General features: G+C 42.7%; 1 protein-coding gene across 7 annotated transcripts in view; it reads left to right on the top strand.

The window, feature by feature from the left end:
- PLAC1 (placenta enriched 1) overlaps positions 1-20181 on the top strand; it is a 198485-nt gene extending 178304 nt beyond the window's left edge. For all 7 annotated transcript variants that reach the window (XM_047441789.1, XM_011531257.3, NM_001316887.2 and 4 more), the window contains one exon: positions 19279-20181. In XM_047441789.1, the coding sequence (XP_047297745.1) occupies positions 19337-19975 (639 nt within the window). In that variant the 5' untranslated portion in view covers positions 19279-19336 and the 3' untranslated portion in view covers positions 19976-20181. The remainder of the gene's footprint in view (positions 1-19278) is intronic.
- The last annotated feature ends 407 nt before the right edge of the window (positions 20182-20588 follow it).

The following is a 20588-nucleotide window of genomic DNA, read 5'->3' as shown; positions in this document are numbered from 1 at the left end:
GGCGGTACATTCTCAAATGCTAAGTTCCATCAAAACAGCATGTTGAGGGGAAGAAGGGCACATGGCAATGGGCACCTTTGGGTCCCAACTTCTCCCCAGCAATGCTGTGACTCAGGAAGTCAGCAGGGGTCCTTCTTTTCACCCCTAGTTCCCTCCCCCAACTCCTTGTACATCTGATGTCAAAGCATAAGCTGGTAACCTATACCGAGAGGGAGAATTCAACCCAGGGGCAGCTCAACTTGAACAGTTCTATCCAGAAGTCCAACTTTAAATTCTACCCCCCATAGAAATAGTCCCATTCCTGCAGCTGCTCTCTACCAGCTGCCTAACCAGCTGCCATTGGGCCAAAATTACCCCCACCTCAGGGTCCCCACCTCAGGACATCATAAACACACTCCCTGGGGCTCATTCATTAACCCATGAGCTGGAGTTGCCCACTTTGGAAGTCAGCTGTGGTCTTCACTATTTTTTTTAACTTAAACAATAAAGAGCAACTCACAGATATCCCTCACTCTCAGCACATGTGGAATGAGATAAAAACAAAAGCTTGCTAAGTCAGACCCCAGAACCAACTCAAGGCAGAGATGATGTGAATGTGGAACTAATCAAGAAGTTACACGTGTTAGAAAGATCTGGCTTAATGGTTCTCTTTTTAAAAAAAAAAAGTTTTTTGAGACAGAGTCTCACTCTGTCACCCAGGCTGGAGTGCAGTGGCACAATCTCAGCTCACTGCAACCTCCACCTCCTGGGGTTCAAGCGATTCTCCTGCCTCAGCCTCCCGAGTAGCTGGGGCTACAGGCGCGTGCCACCATGCCCGGCTTTTTTTTTTTTTTTTTTTTTTTTGTACTTTTAGTGGAGACAGGGTTTCACCATGTTAGCCAGGATGGTCTCGATCTCCTGACCTCGTGATCCGCCCGCTTCAGCCTCCCAAAGTGCTGGGATTACAGGCGTGAGCCACCGCGCCCGGCCTAAAATACTTTTTAAATTTTAAGTGGCATCATGAAAGGTGGAATCCTTGCCCCGTTTTTCTGATTCCTTGTTGTTTTTATTTATTTAGGGAGAAAGACGTTCTGCCTGTGTTTATGTGTCAGTTGCAGAATTTGTGGGTAACAGGAAATCAGGTATGAAATTGAGGCTAGGAGCTCACAGGGAGCAAGAGATAAATAATCCAGGATTCAAGATTAAAATCGCTGTTGCTTCTGTGGTGAGAGCTTGTCACACAGGCAATTCATTGTGGATTAATTTTCCAGTGATGTAGTAACAAAATCAGCACATCAAATAAAATATTTAACACCCAGGAAAAGCCAAATGCATATTCTGCATGTGTGTCCTTAAGTGGTACTTTTATGGAAGGAAATCTTATTTGAAACAAATGTTGGAACAGAAGTTGAGCTTATGAAGGGCACCGAGAAACCCTCACACATAAGGTTTTAAAATGTTGCCCAGAAAAAGCATAATCTTCAGTGTCAGTCCCTTGGATGGTCAGCGTGCACGTTCAATGCTCGTGTTTATCCACCTGTGTGCACAGGTGTCCACTCACTTGCAAATCCTTCACGTCAAAATCTGATAGTCATATTGCTTACCTGTGTTAAATGGAAAATGGAAGTCGACTGGTGGGTCCTGTTGTCTAGCACCCTACTACTTGGTCTCAGGACAAGAAGGGAATCTCAGAATGATGAATGGGGTTATATCTGGATACCCCTTGCTGGGCTGCCTGCGATCAGCATTTCTGCCCACAGCTAAGCAATTCAAGTGCTCTGACCCCAAAGTGGTGAGCCCCCAAGCTTCTATCTGGATCTCTTGAAGGAAGTGTGTAGGGTGTTGCATGTGATCTGTGCAAAAGGAAGGAGCAAATTGGAGTTATTGAGTGAACCGATAGCCAGGGGAGGCCCCTGTATAGACAGATGTCGTGGAGGCATAGTCAGGAAAAGTTTGCCATGACTCGGATTTCTTTCTCTGCCTGCCCAGATGCCTGCCTGCAACCTCTTTTTTTTTTTTTTCATTCACTTGTACATACATTCCTCAAGTATTTACCAAACACCTATTTCAGGCATGGGCCTGGGCTAGCCAGGGCAGTAGTATACAGAAGTCGTTTGTTTTCTCCTCTCCCTCTCAATGGGTCTTCTCTCCTTCTCTCTCTCCCCATAATTCAGTGGTAACAGGGGTGGATGAAGGAATATCCAAAACTCGTCTCTGTAGGAGACATCTGCGCCAGGAATTTCCAGCAACCCCTGAGGAGAGTGGCAGATTGATGGGACTCTAGTTGGGACTAACCAGGGGGTGGAGGGAGGTGGGGGCGGAAAGAGCCCTGCAGCCAGGCTGTCTGCCTGAGCCTATTCTATAGCTCCCATTGATTGGACACTTGCTCTGTGCCAGGCCCTGTACGTGCAGTTTTTCAGACCTCATTCACTCCTCCAATCCCATTGAGGTTGCTATTATAACTGTCCCTATTTTATATGAGGAAACTGAGGCCAGGAGAGGGAAGGGACTTACCCAAGGTCACACAGCTAGGAAGTGACAGAGCCTCAATTCAAACTTAGGTCTGTATATCTCCAATTCTCTGGGCATTTAAAAAAAAAAAAAACAACTCAGATGTGGTTTAGACGTAAGCCAAAAAAAAAAAAAAAAAAGCCAGGCATAGTGGCTCACGCCTGTGATCCTATCCTTTGGGAGGCGGAGGAGAAGCATCGCTTGAGGCCAGGAGTTTGAGTCTAGCATGGGCAACATATCAAGACCCTGTCTCTACAAAAAAATTAAAACAAAACAAAACAAGAAAACCCTCCTTATCATTATATCAAAAGTCCAGACATTTTAAAAAGAGAGAGCTTAGGAGCTTCTAAAAGGTGCTATGAACTCTGTTTCCATGTGTGGTTTAGTCTAATTTCTATATTCAACAATAATAATTTTAATAATAACTAACACTTACTGAGCACTTGCATGACAGGAGCTACACTAAACAGTTTTACACTCATGGTGTCATTTAATAATCATAACGACCCGATGCAGTGTTATCGTTATTATTATTATCCTCATTAACAAATGATGAAAACAATGCTTAGAAAGTAATTCCCAAAGTTAGTTAGCGCCGTCTTATTCCAAGTCTCTCTTGGTACATCAAAGCCACTCAACTACTAGACTATCCTGCCTCAAACCCTCCAGGACCTCATTGCTTCCAAACTTCTTTCCCTAGACTTTCTTCTCACCTTTTTTTCTGTCCTTATAAGTCTGTCCAAATACATTGCACTCATTTCTGTCCTATGAGTGAGCTAAGTCATTGTCTTCTCCATAACCTTGCCTTTTCTCCTCACCCAAATCACTTCTTATCTCCAATATCCAATTAGACAGATCTGGAAGTTCCAAGGATGTGTCCATATAGGGAAATCAGAACAAGAATACTACTAACACCAAGTTTTCAGTCACCCTTCTAGGTTCACAGAATCTTAAGAAGTCAGCAAAACCATAAGCCCTTGTACTTAAAAATAATCAATACTACTTAAAACTTGGTATTTATTTTATTTTATCTTATTTTATTTACAAACACTATGGTGACTTTAAAACTTAGTTTAAAAAAATACTCCCCGAGGTCTGTAATCTCCCACATACAAAATCTCTAAAGGAGAGGCTTAAAAGAGAAGTACTCCTCCCTGAAAATCAGACTATTTTATAAATAATGATAAGGTGGCCCTTTTGAAAGTATTGCTTATTTAGAGGCTGGGGATTTAAACTTAGATCACTAGTGAGGGTGTGTTCCAATTACCATATCCCTAGATAAACATGACCTTCTTTAATCAGCTCTTTGCTCCCTAGTTTCTTAGCAGAACTGCCAATGAGCCAGGGCAGCTGCCATTTTGTGCCAGAGTTTCTTTTTCCATTTTCCAAGGAAGCAAAGAATAAGGAATGCCTCACTTCCCTCCCCATTCCCTGTTTGGAGTCATGCCCTCTGAGAACTTATTCTATTTCAGCTTCTACCTCTATGCAGTCAGAAAAATGATTCCGAACAACCCATAGAATGAGCACCTGCTTCAGTTATTGTCCCAATGTGAAAATGCTAATCCCTGGGTTTAGGCGAGGTTTGCTTTCCACACAAAATGGTCAGGCCCCTCTAATAGGCCAGCACTTCTGGTTTTAATACCCCAGTCTTGATTTCTAACAGGTGGGTGCCACAGTTGTTCAGCTCTTATTATGAGCTGGTTCATAGCTCGAACAATATAGGATTCTTCATAAAGAGTCTGAGAAACTGGGCCGGGCTCGGTGGCTCACGCCTGTAATCCCAGCACTTTGGGAGGCCGAGGCGGGTGGATCACTTGAGGTCAGGAGTTTGAGACCAGCCTGGCCAACATGGTGAAACTCCGTCTTTAGTAAAAATACAAAAATTAGCCAGGCATGGTGGCGGGTGCCTGTAATCCCAGCTACTCGGGGGGCTGAGGCAGGAGAATCACTTGAACCCAGGAGGTGGAGGTTGCAGTGAGCCAAGATCCCACTACTGTACTCCAGCCTGGGTGACAGAGTGAGACTCCAACTCAAAAAAAAAAAAAAAAAAAAGAGTCTGAGAAACCACCAGATGGTATTATTGGGGGGAAATAAACTCAGTTCCTTTCTTCAGCAACCCAAGCTAGTGGTTTTAATCAGGAATGAAGGGCGCTTTCACCCTGCTGCTTTCTTCAAACTCAGTAAGTGCCCCCCACCCTTTTTCCAGTTTTTACAAATTAAAATGTTTGTAAAAACCCAACTTATGCCAGGGAACTAGGGCTGCCTAGCTCTGGTTGTTTCCAACATGGCACTAATGAGACATTGCCCATTGATTCAGTCATTTGACTGTCTGTACTCTTTCCCTCCCTCCCATCCAAGCCCTGACATCCAGGTCTGGAGTGTCACAAACATTCAGGCTTGGCAAGAGAAGCCCATTCTTTTTAAAGATATGATGAAATCAGAAAGACACACAATCCCTGTCCTCAGAGTGGAATCAGGAATATGTGATTCTCCACTTCCATAACAAATGCAAGAGTTGGAGAATGTGTGGTACCCTTTTTCCATTCAGGAAGATTTATTGGGTGAGTCTACAGGCCATTCTTCTTAGTTTGGGGTTGCCGTATCTGGTGGCTTTGTACAGAAGCCATACACATTTCCCTCGTCAAAACAGATTGAGAAGGCCTGAATATACAGTGTGTCTCGAGGTTCATTGTGTTCTGGGTATGCATGCAACCCACGGAATAAATGTGTTACATTGAAATAAGGAATGACTGTGTGCTGACAAGAAGTCCAAAATATAGAGAGTGATAAAATAGAAACAGTGGTCCAGAATTATCTACTCTAAATGCCCTTGAATTTCTGTCTCCCATTTATTGCCTCTATTTTTCTCAATTTCCCCTGCTTGAAAAGCTATTAACTTCCCCACCTCTCCACCACCCTAGACTCTGATACCCATAAACAACCGTTGCCACTCTTTTATGTCCTCTGTTATGAACACCTTCACTGTGTTTACTTTCTTGGCACTGGCATAGACTAGACAGAGAACTATAGAAGCTTCTCGTTCTGGCTTTGCCACTTATGACCTTTGTGTCTTTAATGAATTTCCTAACCTTTCTGATCCTCAATTCTTCTTCCATAAAAGGAAGCTAATAATAATACCACACAGAGTTGCTATGAGGGTTAAGTGAGATACTGCACGTACAGCCCTAAACACAGTAATACAGTGTCTCAATATATATCCATTTCCCTCCTTCCTGTTTTCCTTCCTTTCTTCTTTCTGCGGGAATCTCAGTCGCTACGTTTAAGCAACTGCCTATGATGAAAGGTTTTGTCTAGTGGGTGGACCCAGTTTCTGTCTTTGTTCTCATCACTTAGGTGTAAAAAGAAAGCTTTAAAAAGTAGGATTATTTTTGAGGGCATATAGAAAAGTTGTTGCTCTTTGTATAAGACAAAATATCCAAGTTTCAAAAATCCCAGTGGCCTGCCTACCTTGAACCTCTTTCTGTTCTTCTACTCCCAAGGGTGCTCCAATTGGCGGAAGGTAGCCACGTGGGAAATTAAACGGCCCATCTATATCTATTTATACCCAGCGTAAATGCAGAGCGATCAATTTTAGAACTGGTGGCTTGGCCTGAGAAATAGCTATGTTTGGTGGAAGCAGGGCAGGTTCATAAAGAAGTGCACAGAGCTCTTGGAATACAGGAATTATCTGCTCTTCTTGGATGTGGGTGTCCTCCTAGGGATGAGCATCTGCCCTCACTGTCCTAAGTTCTAGAGGCCTCAGCTTTCCGGGAAAGCACAAACCACCGCTCAGCTGGAGTCTATCTGGGTCTCCCCTCTCCAACTTGTGACACAAGTCTTGTGTGAAAGCCTGAGAACACTCCATTCTTCCTCTTGTTGTTTTCAGGAAAGATTTGTCCCTGTCTCTCACTGCCACATACCATCTTAGAGCTTCTCTCAGCTTCCCCGAGTCATGCATGGGAAATTGCTCCCACAGCCCCTCTATGCTTTGGTTTGCTCAGTTTTAAAGTTGATTCTGTCCCCTCTCCTAAAAACTCAGCCATCAGACACTGAAGCAGAATCACCCAAGTGTTTTAGAGCCATAGTCCGGAAGCCAAGCCACCTCAGGACTTTCCTTTTCTTTCATGGTGATTAAATTTATTGTAATGTCTGGCCATTTTTCTCTGAGTTGTAAGGCAGAGAAGCAAGGTGGGCTGGTGGAAAGGCCTGAGGCCCCGATTGACTTATCTAACCTTGATCTTGGCCAAGGCTCTCTGCCCTTCTGGGACCCCCGTTTCCACAGTTTTAACATGTGATGCCTGTCTTTGGGGCCCTTACAGGAGAGCTGCAAGGATCAAGAGGGATAACAGGAGGGAGTGCATTCTATTGGGGTAGGGCTGGGGAATCTCTAGACAAAAGATATCCAAATTAAAGCAAAAGTGCTGTATTTTGAGATTTGTTGCCATATGTAATCCATACACGTTTAAACAAGCTTTTTAGAACCCCTGGTTTCTGTAATCACTTAAGACATTGCAAAGAAGCATAAATATATATTTTTAAAGTCATCACTACTACTACTTTCTAGGTGAAATAGAAAGTATTTCTACTTTGAACATTTGCCCTATAACTGTGACAGGGCCTCCATAGACTGCAGTTCCAAGGATCAGAGCCCCAACCTTTTAAATTCGGTGCAAGAAATTTGCTTTAATTTGGATATCTTTTGTCTAGAGATTTCCCCAGCCCCACCCCAGTAGATAACTCCCTCCTGTTATCTCTCTTGATCAGCTCTCCTGTAAATTCCCCAAAGACAGGCATCACATGAACCCCCAGTTCAGGCTTTCAGAGACCATGCTGCTTAGAAAGACCATTTCCTCAAAAAAAAAGTAGCCAGGCGATCCCAGCTACTCAGGAGGCTGAGGCAGGAGGATCGCTTGAGCCCAGGAGATGAGGCTGCAGTAAACTGTGATTGCACGACTACACTCCAGCCTGGGCAAAGAGCAAACCCCTATGTCAAAAAAAAAAAAAAAAAAAAAAGAAAGAAAGAAAGACCATTTCCACTGCCCCACCCCCAGGCTTTAGGGCTGGGCAGTAAGCTCCATTCTGAGTTTTTTTTTCTTTTCTTTTTTTTTTTTTTTTTGAGACAGAGTCTTGCTCTGTCACTCAGGCTGGAGTGCAGTGGTGCGATCTCGGCTCACTGCAAGTTCTGCCTCCCGGGTTCACGCCATTCTCCTGCCTCAGCCTCCCAAGTAGCTGGGACTACAGGCGCCCGCCACCACGCCTGGCTAATTTTTTGTATTTTTAGTAGAGACGGGGTTTCACCGTGTTAGCCAGGATGGTCTCCATCTCCTGACCTTGTGATCCGCCCACCTGGGCCTCCCAAAGTGCTGGGATTACAGGCGTGAGCCACTGCGCCCAGCTGGTTTGTTTTCTTAATGACTAATACTTAGAATCATTCTGAGTATTTTCCTCTATATCATGACCTGCCCTCCCTTCTCCCCTGCCACCTTCCCCTTGTAATTGCCACCAATACACAGTCACATCCAGTCACAACAAAAACCTGGCTGAGAGGTCAAGTCCCTGTTAGAAAATGTTATATAATCTTCCGTATCTCAGGATTAGAGGCTTCAGGCATCAATGACATTGTAAGACTTTCAAGAGAAGACCTACATAAATAACCTCTGTATGTGTGCATGATGTATGTATGTGTGTGTGTTCCCATGCATGCATTTGTTCATAATACATGTGCTAATCTATCCCTCCACTACACACACACACACACACACACACACACACACACACGCATGCATGCACACATGAGGCATTCTGTGATAGAACCTTAAACACCATCTTTTTTTTTTCTTTGGTGGAGTCTCTCTCTCTGTTGCCCAGGCTGGAGTGCAGTGGCGCGACCTCAGCTCACTGCAACCTCTGCCCCCCAGTTCAAGCGATTCTCCTGCCTCAGCCTCCAGAGTAGCTGGGACTACAGGCATGCGCCACCACGCCCAGCTAATTTTTGCATTTTTAGTGGAGACGGGGCTTCACCATGTTGGCCAGGCTGGTCTTGAGCTCCTGACCTTAGGTGATACGCCCGCCTTGGCCTCCCAAAGTGCTGAGATTACAGGCGTGAGCCACTGCACCCGGCCAAAGATCATCTACTCTAGCCTCTGACGTAGGACAGGATCTCCCTCTCCAGTGACCCCAACAAGTGGACAGCCAGCCTCTAACTGAATGCCTACAGGGAACAAAGAGATCTTAGTTTCACTCTAGGTTTCTCCATCCATTTTTGGACAACTTTTATAGTTGGGAACGTCTCCCTGATATTACACTGCAATTCTAGTTCAGTTTCTCCTGTAGGCATCAAATATCAGCACCAATACCACTTTTAACTGGCCCCTTTCTTTCTAAGTTTTTGTCTCTATTCCTTGTTGCTTCATCATATTTCTAATTCTAAATGGAATTTAAGATTGTAACAAAACACAGAGTCAGAACATTAATAATTGCAGGCTCCTATCTCAGAAAGGAGGCATGTGTGTCTGTTCCATTTGTTGGGAAGATATAATTGTTAGTTTGCTAGGGCTGCTGTACACAAACTGGGTGGCTTAAAACAACAAAAAATGTATTGTCTTACAGCTCTGGGGGCTGGAAGTTCAAAATCAAGGTGTCAGCAGGGCCATATTGTGTGACGGCTCTAGAGAAGCCTCTTCTAGTTCTGGTATTTGCTGACAATTCTTGACGTTCCTGGGGTTGCAGGCACATCATTGGAGTGATGCACATGGCCGCCTTCTTCCTACATGTCTCACATTGTCTTACCTCTGTGTGTGTCTGTCTCTGTGTCCACATTTTCCCCTTTTGTAAAGACATAAGTCATTGGATTGGAGCCCACCATAATGATTTCATTTTATATTGATTACCTCTGTAAAGAGCATATTTCCAAATAAAGTCACATTCTGAACACTAGGGGTTAAGACTTCAATATATCTTTTTGGGAGGACACAATTTTTTTTTTTTTTTTTTGAGACAGAGTCTCACTCTGTCGCCCAGGCTGGAGTGCAGTGGCACGATCTTGGCTCACTGCAACCTCCGCCTCCTGGGTTCAAGCGATTCTTCTGCCTCAGCCTCTGAGTAGCTGGGACTACAGGCATGTGCCACCATGTCTAGCTAATTTTTGTGTTTTTAGTAGAGACAGGGTTTTACCATATTGGCCAGGCTGGTCTCGAACTCCTGACCTTGTGATCCACCCACCTCAGCTTCCCAAAATGCTGGGATTACAGGCGTGAGCCACCACACCCAGCTGGGAGGACATAATTTTATACATATATATGTATATATAATTATCTAGCTATATAGAATATATAGATATAGAATAGATATAGATATATAATGTATATATAGAATATTAGATACATAGATATAGAATACATAGATAGGTATTCCTAAACATTTGTAGTCCAGTGATGTAAGTTCAAGTCTCAGTCCTGGAGAAAAATTTCAGAAAGAAAGTCCTTCATTCTTTGTTAAGGGAAGATAGATTACCAGTGGGGGGAAACTTCCTTTTTGTTGTTAATAATTATATTAATATCATATATGTATATATTATTAGATATGATAAGACTTTTATATTTATTTTTAACATTATATATGGTGTATTTTAAAATATTATGTATTATAATATGCAAATGATGAACACAAGTTTAACCAATTGCTTTTTTTTAAACAAGTAATTAATTTCAGGAAAAAGGCACCAAACCAACACCCTGTTCTACTTTTTTTTTTTTTTTTTTGAGACGGAGTCTTATTCTGTCGCCCACGCTGGAGTGCAGTGGCGCCATCTCAGCTCACTGCAACCTCTGCCTCCTGGGTTCAAGCAATTCTCCTGCCTCAGCTTCCCAAGTAGCTGGGACTACAGGCACGTGCCACCACGCCTGGCTAATTTTTTGTATTTTTAATAGAGACGGGGTTTCACTGTGTTAGCCAGGATGGTCTCAATCTCCTGACCTCATGATCTACCCGCCTTGGCCTCCTAAAGTGCTGGGATTACAGGCGTGAGCCACTGCGCCCGGCTCAACACCCTGTTCTTGCTCTTTTTTTTTTGTTTGTTTTTTTTTGGAGACAGGGTCTCACTCTGGGCTCAAGCAATCCTCCTGCCAAGTAGCTGGGACAACAGGTGCGCACCACCACATCCAGCTAGTTTTTAAAAAATTGTTATGTTTTTTGATATTGCTAGTATAAGGAGCTATCACACCCAAAGTCAAATCTTCGTTATATAGAAAGTCCAGATCAGAGAAGTGTATAGTGATATTTACCAGTACAATACTCTATCATATGTGGATATGGGGTCAACTGCAAAGCACTTTTGGGAACATTCAGGCTCGGGGACACTCAAACTGACGTGAAGTTAGCCTGGATCTCTCTTTTAGTCCAGAGTTGGCAGAGTGAAAAGCCCAGCCCAGAGGGAGCCAAGGGTCAAGTTGGGGTAGGGGAGAATTCACCCATCTTGCCTCTGATTTCCCAAGAACCTCTAGCATTTTCTGATTTCTGTATCTGTGTATGGAACTGGGAGTGGATGTGTAGGTCTGCTCTCAGGAGGAACAGATATCCAGCCTGTGGTTTAGGTTCCTTTTTCTAGCTAAGGGAATCCTTGGACAACCTCAGGGCTAAGTCCATTTGCCTGGGTAAACTTGGGGACTCTAGCAAGCCCCTTCGAGGCACCCCACCATTCTTCAGTACCTCGTGAACCTGAGGCTTCTGCTTCTGATTATGCTGTCTCTCAATTGCCTGGACTTGGTCTAGATACGGCTTGATAATTTCTTCTTTCCTCCCATGTAAAGGCCAGACTAGGGGAGAGTTCCACTTTGTCTTCTTTCCAGAGGACGACTTATCACAGGGATGGAGGAAAAGGGGTACAAAGAGTGCTGGCTGCACTTGGAGTCACTGACTAAGAGCTAATTGACAGGACATTGGGTACCGTTGGATGGGACAGACATAGAGCCCTTGGCATCAATGATCCTAGAAGATAAGCAGGTGTGCAAGTGGACAGGCCAGGACGCTTGTTAGGACTCTGTACTCTCTAACTATTATAGAAAGGCTCTACTGCTACCCCAGGCCTTCAACTGGTAGACTAGAGAAGGAGTGGGGGAAGGGGTTAGCCAATAACCAGATTCAGGCCCTTAGGGGCTGGACAAGGAGGCACAGGGGCAGGTGGTGATTTCTGGTGGTCATTCATTAATTTCTTCCTTCTTTCATTTAAAAAATATTTACTAAGTACTTACTGTGTACCAGATACTATAGTAGATCAAGACCCCATTTTTAAAGGAATTTATGGTACAATAATTAAGGAATGGGGAGAAATAGTAGGGATCAGGGCAATAGTAAGAAACAGATTTGGGGATTTTCTTCTCCTCAGTATGTGTGTGTGTGTCTGTCTCTCCATCACTGTGTGTGTGTGTGTGTGTGTGTGTGAGAGAGAGAGAGAGAGAGACAGAGAGAGAGAGAGAAAATTTATCTTCCTACAATGTCCTCATCACAAAGCAATGCATCTTTACCTACTCCGATATGCACGCATGCCTCCCAAATTGTAGGCTCGCTAACAATGACCAACAGCCTTCCTATCAAAGGAACCTTTTCTAAAACCTTCTCTACGTCTCAGGAGCCAAATGATGGTGAATGGCCTCAGTCAGGATGTTATACACATGCACCAAGTGACCACATTCTGGGTGGGGCATGCACAAGGTAGCTTTGGGTTTTGGAAAGATGCATTCTGGTCAAGTCAGTGAAAAATCAGCCAAGTAGCCTATAAAGTCAACTGTGGTTTATTTTGGACTTAGGCCACACCTAAGGGGCCATATGCGTGCACCTCACTTTAAGAAAACCTGTACTCAAAAATCCCAATTTTGAAAGGGAGACGGGAATGTGCCTGACCATTTTTGGAAGCCATCTAGAGCCCTCATTTATTGACACAGGTGTATCAAAGAGGTGGTGAAGCCCTTGAAGGAACATCTGATTCAATCCTCTGCCTTCTGATGATTTCAGATCACCTCAGGCAAATGGGCCTTTATCTGGTTTTGGCAGACTCCCAGAGACTACTAATGGGTTAAAAATGTGGCCGTGGCTGCCGTGGAGTTGAGAGGTCTGCACAGACACAAACCTACCTTGTCTTTTAAAATGAGAAGGGACTCTGGGGCTTTGTGGAAAAGGGTGTAGTTTTCTGAAAAAAATCAAACTCAAATAAATTGTTAAGTTAAAACATAAACTGAATTAGGGGCATACATTTGGGATGTCCCTCACACTTCATGGAAATTATGAAATACATCTCTTTGTTCAAGTTTAAAATTCAACCAACTCAGCTTCTCTGCACAAAAGGGGAGGAGTTCCCATGACCTGATCTTTGCAATTTCCTCTAAAGTATGGCTTTCTGTATTTATTTAGGAATATTTATGTTCAGTCAGGGCATGGTTTACCCTTGTTGTGTAGCCTTATTATGGTTTGATTTCACATTGGACTACTCACCTTTTAGTAACCAAATTTGCGACCCAGCGGAAATTTCTCTCTTACAAGGAGCTTGGATTCTTATTTATTTTGCAACCTTTATTTGTGTATGAGATGAACCATGACATTTAAACTATGCTTGATAGCTTAACAGATTATAAGAACAAAACCAGATGGCCCAAACAAAAATAATGCTTTGATTGCTTTAAAATTCAATGTCAAAAATTAAAAACAGCTTTCAAAAAGCCTTGACTTTTTTCCCCCGAGATAATTTTGAATCATATATGTGGACATATACTTTCCCCCCAAATTAGAAATATATAAAAAATTTAACAATGGTTATTTGGGGGTTGAGAAGGGTGTTTCCTTCTTTTTTCTTTTCGACACCACCCAATTTTTCTGCAGTTAGTTTTAGAATCAGAAATAAATTTTTAATGGCTGCTTTTTAGTTTAATTTTAATGAAGCCTTTTTAAGGGTTCGGTCAAGGTGTTTTTCTCTGCTGAGAAAATGGACATTGTTAAGCATTAGCAGTTCATAATTCTTCTTCCACACAAAATGATGAATAATGTGCGGTTACTTTAACACTGTGCTTCATGAGGTTGGAAAACTAAACCGGTCTCAGCGTCTTTAAAATTAATGTAAATTCTACAAAAGCAGTTATTTAATTTTCTAACTCGCTTTAATGTACTTTCAACATCATTAGTATTAATCACAATTGTCACTTTCTTTGAGAGCAGTGAACCAACTAATTCCTTAAAACTGGGCTTTAAAAAGAACCTCCATTTTAAAAGGCTCTCAAACCTTGAGATAGTTTGCAGGTCACAGTCAGAATGTGACTGCTTGAATGTTTAAACTAAAGCACCCACAAAGTGTTAGGATTCCTTTTTTTCCGTTCTTGTCTTGTAAAAGAATCTTTATTCTGACTCAGATTCATTTTTCTTTAAATCAGCTGCAAGAGAGTGAACAAACTTTGCTGCAAATCAAAGCCCTGACAGTTACATTTCCCTGAGATAATTGCATGCTGCTTTGGAGTTTCCTTTTCCCTGCTGTTTCCTTTTGTTTTGACAACAAGTTTCTGGGAAAACAATATACAAATGATAACTATGCTGTCACGAGTATACTGAATTTTAAAAATAAATAACTGTCGACCCAAAAAGCTTCCAGGAGCCTATGGAGTGAATTCTTTTTCCAAACCGTTCCAAAACCAGATGTGGAAATGTTTAGCTAATTCCCCTTCCCATTCTTCATGCAAAGAGTTCATACGTGTCTCTAACGACATCAGAGGAGATGGGGAGGCAAAAAATCCTGTCTGCTTTCAAAGCGATTTCTCTTACACTTCTCAATTCTCTCTCTAACGTCACAAAACTAATTTGGACTTCAGCTTTTGTCTCTTTTTAAAAGGATTTTTTTGGGGTCCTGAGATTAAAAATGCTCTGTGCTTAGACCAATATTCAATCTCTTCATTATAAAACATTAAGAAATAGAGCTCATGGTAAGAACACTTAAAATCTACCCTCTTAGCCATTTTGAAATATACAATATATTATTATTGGCTGAACTCACCATGCTGTGCAATAGATCACTAGAACTTATTCCTCCTGTCTAACTGCAACTTTTTACTTTTTGACCAGTATCTCCCCTTACCCCTTCCACTCCACCCCAATAACCACCATTCTACTCTCTACTTCTTAAAGTAAGGCAATGGTCATGTTAACCAGCTTGATCTAAAATAATCATTCCACAATGTAAACATAGATCATTGTTACATGTATACATAGAACACTGTATCCCATAAATATATACAATTTTTATTTGTCAATTTAAAAACAAAACAACTGCTGAACTTTATAAGCAGCATTTTCAGCATAAAAAATTTAACGATGGGGGAGTTAAGTGGCAGCTCTTCTTCCTCTTTCCTTTTTTTGTTTTGGCCAATCCATTCTCTTCCTGTCTATAAGAAGAAAAGGGCTGTCTTGGTTTCACAAGTACTACGAGATCTCAGTCTGGCTTTGCTAATCAGATTGTATCACTGTCAGTGACTGATATAGATAGCTCTTAAACATAAACACTGGCATTTTTCTGAACTTAATTAAAAGAGCATATGTGTTTATGAGGGAAGAAAGGAAATACAGTTTATATTCCCAAAATGAAATGTTTTATGATTTTTTAATGTAGAAAATTTATTAAGGCTTATTAGGGAGTTCTTGAAAAAAAGGGAAAGAGGAAAACTCTGTTAAAGGAGCTAGTGGGAAATGTATATGCATAAACTCCATTTACAAAAAAACAGAAAGCTACTTGTACTCTGTAGCTTCAAGGAAAGCAAACATTTTGCATCCAGGTGTTATTAGAAGCTCTGGGTTTGCCTGACCTCTCTATAGCTCAGTTCAGGACGCTGTGTACCAACAGCTGAGCCCTACTTGGCTATACAAATGCATCTAGGCTCATTGCTTCGGGCATGTTGCAAGGCTAATTTGCAATCGAGTCAAAATGGGGCTACAGTGATACAGACCCTGAGACTGCTTTTTTTCTCAGCACAGAGGCCTCCCCAAGAAGCTGGACAGTAGTCCCAAAATGAGTGCTCCCTTCTTTGCATTTATTTCTTCCCCAGTCCCCAACTCCACGTCAGCTCTAAAGAGTTCTAAAGACTTTAAATAGAATTCTGCCCACAGCTCCTGGGATACTGTGCATGGCCCGCATGATGGCTAAAAATACCTTCAGCTGGGCACCCCCACACAGCCCTCTCTTCTGGCATCTCCTTCCCATCTCTAACCCCTCAGCCTTCTTTTCCCTCTGCCCCCAATAACTAGAGCCCACTTTCTCCCTCCCTTGTTCGGGATCCCATTCTTCCAGCACATCTCAGCAAGGTGTTAGAAAAGTCAGCTGATGAATTCACACTGTGTTGTGAATGACTTATAACCATCCCCCCTGCCGGACGTGGTGGCTCACGCCTGTAATCCTGTAATCCGAGCACTTTGGGAGGCCAAGGCAGGCGGATCACCTGAGGTCAGGAGTTCGAGAGCAGCCTGGCCAACATGGTGAAACCCTATCTCTACTAAAAATACAAAAATTAGCAGGGCATGGTGGCGGGTGCCTGCCTGTAGTCCCAGCTACTTGGGAGGCTGAGGCAGAAGAATCGCTTGAACCCAGGAGGCGGAGGTTGCAGTGAGCCAAGGTCGTGCCACTGCACTCCAGCCTGGACAACAGAGCAAGACTCCGTCTCAAATAATAACAATAATAATAATAACCGTCCCCCAACACACACACACACACACACAAACACACACACACACACACACACACACACACACACACACACACACACACTACTCTACCCTTCCCTAGGAATTGCAGGTAGCAGGAGAAGGGAGGCTGCCCTGCTTTGAGGATCTGTTCTCAGCAAGAAGGAGTAAGTCTCAAAGTGTGCCAATGAGCTGGGCATTCGCAAGCTCATTAGAAAGTACATTCTGCTTTCCCCCTAATCTCCTTTCTCTCCCCTTAGAGATGAGCAACCTTAAACCTGGGTCTCAGTGACCTCTTCTTTAAGCTTTATCTGAGCTGAAGGGTGTGCTGTCACATGCCTAGTCATCTTCGTTTATTTCTCCTATCACATGGTGAGCTGTTCTTGGCTTTATGAAAGTCAGAGGAAAGAGATTCTGCCGTGTTCAAATTTGGAGAGTTGTACTAAATGAACCCCTAAACTCAATGACATTATTGAGCCCCTTCCTTTGAGACTGACTCAGTGCAACATAATACAAGAAGTGAACGTGTGGGGGTGGGAAGTGAGGTAGTCTAAAATGATTGCTTGAGGGACAACAGTCTCATTTCTCAGAAATTCTAGACATTTTATAATTATATTTGGATTATCTTTGGGGAAGGAGGAGAAGGAGTACAGGAAAGATGCTTGAGGGAGGGGGAGGAAATGGATGGCTTAGCTCTCTGGAAAAGAGTAGCCTTAAACTTGGGTGTTAATTTTGGGGTTTGAACAAAAACAGTTGTTTCCTTGGCCTAGTCCAGAACTACTTAAGGAGGAGGTTTTCATTCAGGGCAATTAGGCCCAGGTTGTGGGATGATGTTAAAGAAAGAAGGAAAGAAGGAGAGAGAGAAAAAGAGAGAGGCAGGAAGGGAAAGAAAACCCACCTAAAGCACATTTAAGACAAGGTGGTCTTCTATAGATCAAGACAATAGTGCAGTAGTGATGGGGTGATTATCTCAGCTTCCAAAAGGCACCTCAGCAAATGTTATGCAGTATTCCAGAGCAGGTGGTTTCTTTACTTAACTGTTGAGTCATCCAGGACCAGCTCACATCAGAATTTACTTATTTGTGTTGTTATTATTGTTTCCTTTTTGTTTGTTTTGGGGATTTTTGGTGCGGGGGAGAGAAAGGGAGTAGGTTTTTGTTTGTTGCTGCTGCTTCTACTTTTGCTTTGTGAAAAAAACCCAAAAAAGTTGTCCCAGAAGAGACATTTCAGAAGGAACAAAGAGGAAGGAGCCTGGCAGACCTGTGGGGCTTCTCTTTTACACCCACAACACCCCTGAGAGAATGAGGAATCATTAACGGCAGAGTGAAAGACAGTGAGACCAATCCGTACCAATCAGAAACAAAACATTTCATCCAGGCCAGTGCGTTTTTCTAGCGGGCTCCTGTGCCATGGTTTCCATTAAACAATGCAGCAAATTCGTCACTATCAAGGGAAGAGAAAGAGCTGTATTTTTGCAACTGGGGAAAAAGAGAAGAGAGAAATGTCTTGGGACGTTTTTTGGCCCATTGCCGTGCACATAGTAGGCATTCAACAAATATTAGTCAAAGAATGAATTTGTGCAGGGGTTACTTATCTCAGCAGGGAACAAAAGTGAATCCCTATATGCATGTACATTTCCTTCCAAACTTTAGGTACTTTACTATGTGATTTATGTCATTTTCACTTGTAAAATGAAAGTTGAGTTGGAAAACATTGGATGATGTTGCTCTTGCTTTCTTCTTTCTTCATCTGTTACCTCCTTCTGATAGCATGTTTTAGATACTTATTCCTAGCACTGCTTTTTCTCCTCACTGGTCTGCCTGTCACTCTTTGAGAGCTAGAAGCAATAGGACTAGGAAGTGGCCACAGAGCTTCCTATGGAAAAAGAAAACAATAAAAAGCTAGAGAAAATAAAAGACGTAATGCAAAGATTTTAGGAGATATCTTGTCAATCAATGTGTAAAGTACAAACTCAATCCTCCCTCTCTCCCTCCCTCCCTCCCTCCCTCCCTCTCTCTCTCTCTTTCTTTCCTTTCTTTTCTTTCTTCCCTTTTTTTTTTTTTGAGACAGAGTCTCTCTCTCTCTGTTGCCCAGGCTGGAGTGCAGTGGCACACTCTTGGCTCACTATAGCCTCAACCTCCAAGGCTCAAGCGATCCTCCCACCTCAGCCTCCCGAGTAGCTCATACTACAGGCGTGCACCACCACACTCAGCTAGTTTTTTGTATTGTTTTATAGAGACAGGCTCTCACTATATTGCCCGGGCTGCTCTTGAACTTCTGGGCTCAAGCAGTCCTTCCACCCTGGCTTCCTAGAATGCTGGGATTATGGGCATAAGCCGCCCCTTTCTTTAATATAAGACTTTTACGGTAGTTTTCATGTGTAATATGCATTGAAAAATGTAAAATTAAAAACCAGCATGTTTTTATGTTTCCACAATTTTAGTATTTTACAAGGTGTCCTAAAGAATTTATCAGGGACTCTATTGGTCATAATGACTTATGATGCTGCTGCCAGAGTTTATGAAGCATTCGTTTGATCATTTTAAGTAAGCCACTCGGCAAAATTTCAATATCTGGTTGTTAAGAATAAACCACAATTCCTTCATAGGTTTTTATTTGATCAAATCTGTTGTAACAACAACAAAAAAGCGATAGGGAAGGGTTCATTAGTATGGCCTATGAGAGGACATGGAGGCCCCTAAAGAGGGAAGTATTGCCATCTTGAATTAAACTCTATCTCCTATCTCTTTATTCAACGTTTGACACAAAAACTGTTCTGTTTTGGGTTCATCTTGAGGTTAAACACAAAAGGATGCCACTCCTGATCAGTGTAAACTGTTGTTCTACATATTAGGGATATGTGTTTTATGCTAGAACAGCATGGGAAAGTCACTTTAAAAAGCCATTGTAATCGTCCATAAACACGTGAGTTCCAACAATGAAATTAAAGTTCAGTTCTCTCTCAAATGAGTGTTTTCCTCTTCTTAATGCTTTAGGAACAGCCCTTTGCTTAAAAAATATATCATGTTTGAACTTTCAATAGAAAATAAGATGACTTGCCTCTTGTGTTTTTTTGTGCTCTAGAAATCCTCACTGGACGGCTTCCTGTTTCCTGTGGTTCATTATCTGATTGGCTGCAGGGATGAAAGTTTTTAAGTTCATAGGACTGATGATCCTCCTCACCTCTGCGTTTTCAGCCGGTTCAGGACAAAGTCCAATGACTGTGCTGTGCTCCATAGACTGGTTCATGGTCACAGTGCACCCCTTCATGCTAAACAACGATGTGTGTGTACACTTTCATGAACTACACTTGGGCCTGGGTTGCCCCCCAAACCATGTTCAGCCACACGCCTACCAGTTCACCTACCGTGTTACTGAATGTGGCATCAGGGCCAAAGCTGTCTCTCAGGACATGGTTATCTACAGCACTGAGATACACTACTCTTCTAAGGGCACGCCATCTAAGTTTGTGATCCCAGTGTCATGTGCTGCCCCCCAAAAGTCCCCATGGCTCACCAAGCCCTGCTCCATGAGAGTAGCCAGCAAGAGCAGGGCCACAGCCCAGAAGGATGAGAAATGCTACGAGGTGTTCAGCTTGTCACAGTCCAGTCAAAGGCCCAACTGCGATTGTCCACCTTGTGTCTTCAGTGAAGAAGAGCATACCCAGGTCCCTTGTCACCAAGCAGGGGCTCAGGAGGCTCAACCTCTGCAGCCATCTCACTTTCTTGATATTTCTGAGGATTGGTCTCTTCACACAGATGATATGATTGGGTCCATGTGATCCTCAGGTTTGGGGTCTCCTGAAGATGCTATTTCTAGAATTAGTATATAGTGTACAAATGTCTGACAAATAAGTGCTCTTGTGACCCTCATGTGAGCACTTTTGAGAAAGAGAAACCTATAGCAACTTCATGAATTAAGCCTTTTTCTATATTTTTATATTCATGTGTAAACAAAAAATAAAATAAAATTCTGATCGCATAAAAATATGTTGGGCATTTTTATTTAATAGACACATACCTCATTTTTAGTATGGGCCAGACATTGTTCTAAGTGGTTTGCAAACATTGGTGCCTGGTCCCTTCTCTCTAGGATGACTTCCCTCTCTGTCAAGTTCCTCTAAGAAAGCCTTCTGCAATTGACCCTCTGTCTATATCCCCATTTCCCTTACACTCTGCACCACTAACTTAGTACTCAGCCACATCGTTTCTTAGTTCAATCTACAACTGTGTCACTTTTTATCCACAAAAAGCATAGGTTGCACTGGTGATTTATAAACCATCAATGGTTCTAAGAAGCACTCACGTCACTACCCACCAGCTAGACAGCAAATTCCTGATGCCGAGAGCCAGAGCTTATGCTTTAGCCACAGACTGATAGTGCTTTGAAAGGAG

Source organism: Homo sapiens, chromosome X (assembly GCF_000001405.40).
Source record: "Homo sapiens chromosome X, GRCh38.p14 Primary Assembly".
NCBI classification, from domain to species: Eukaryota; Metazoa; Chordata; class Mammalia; order Primates; family Hominidae; genus Homo; species Homo sapiens.
The sequence above is the reverse complement of the archived record's forward strand: the minus strand, read 5'-3'. Positions and strand labels throughout refer to the sequence as shown.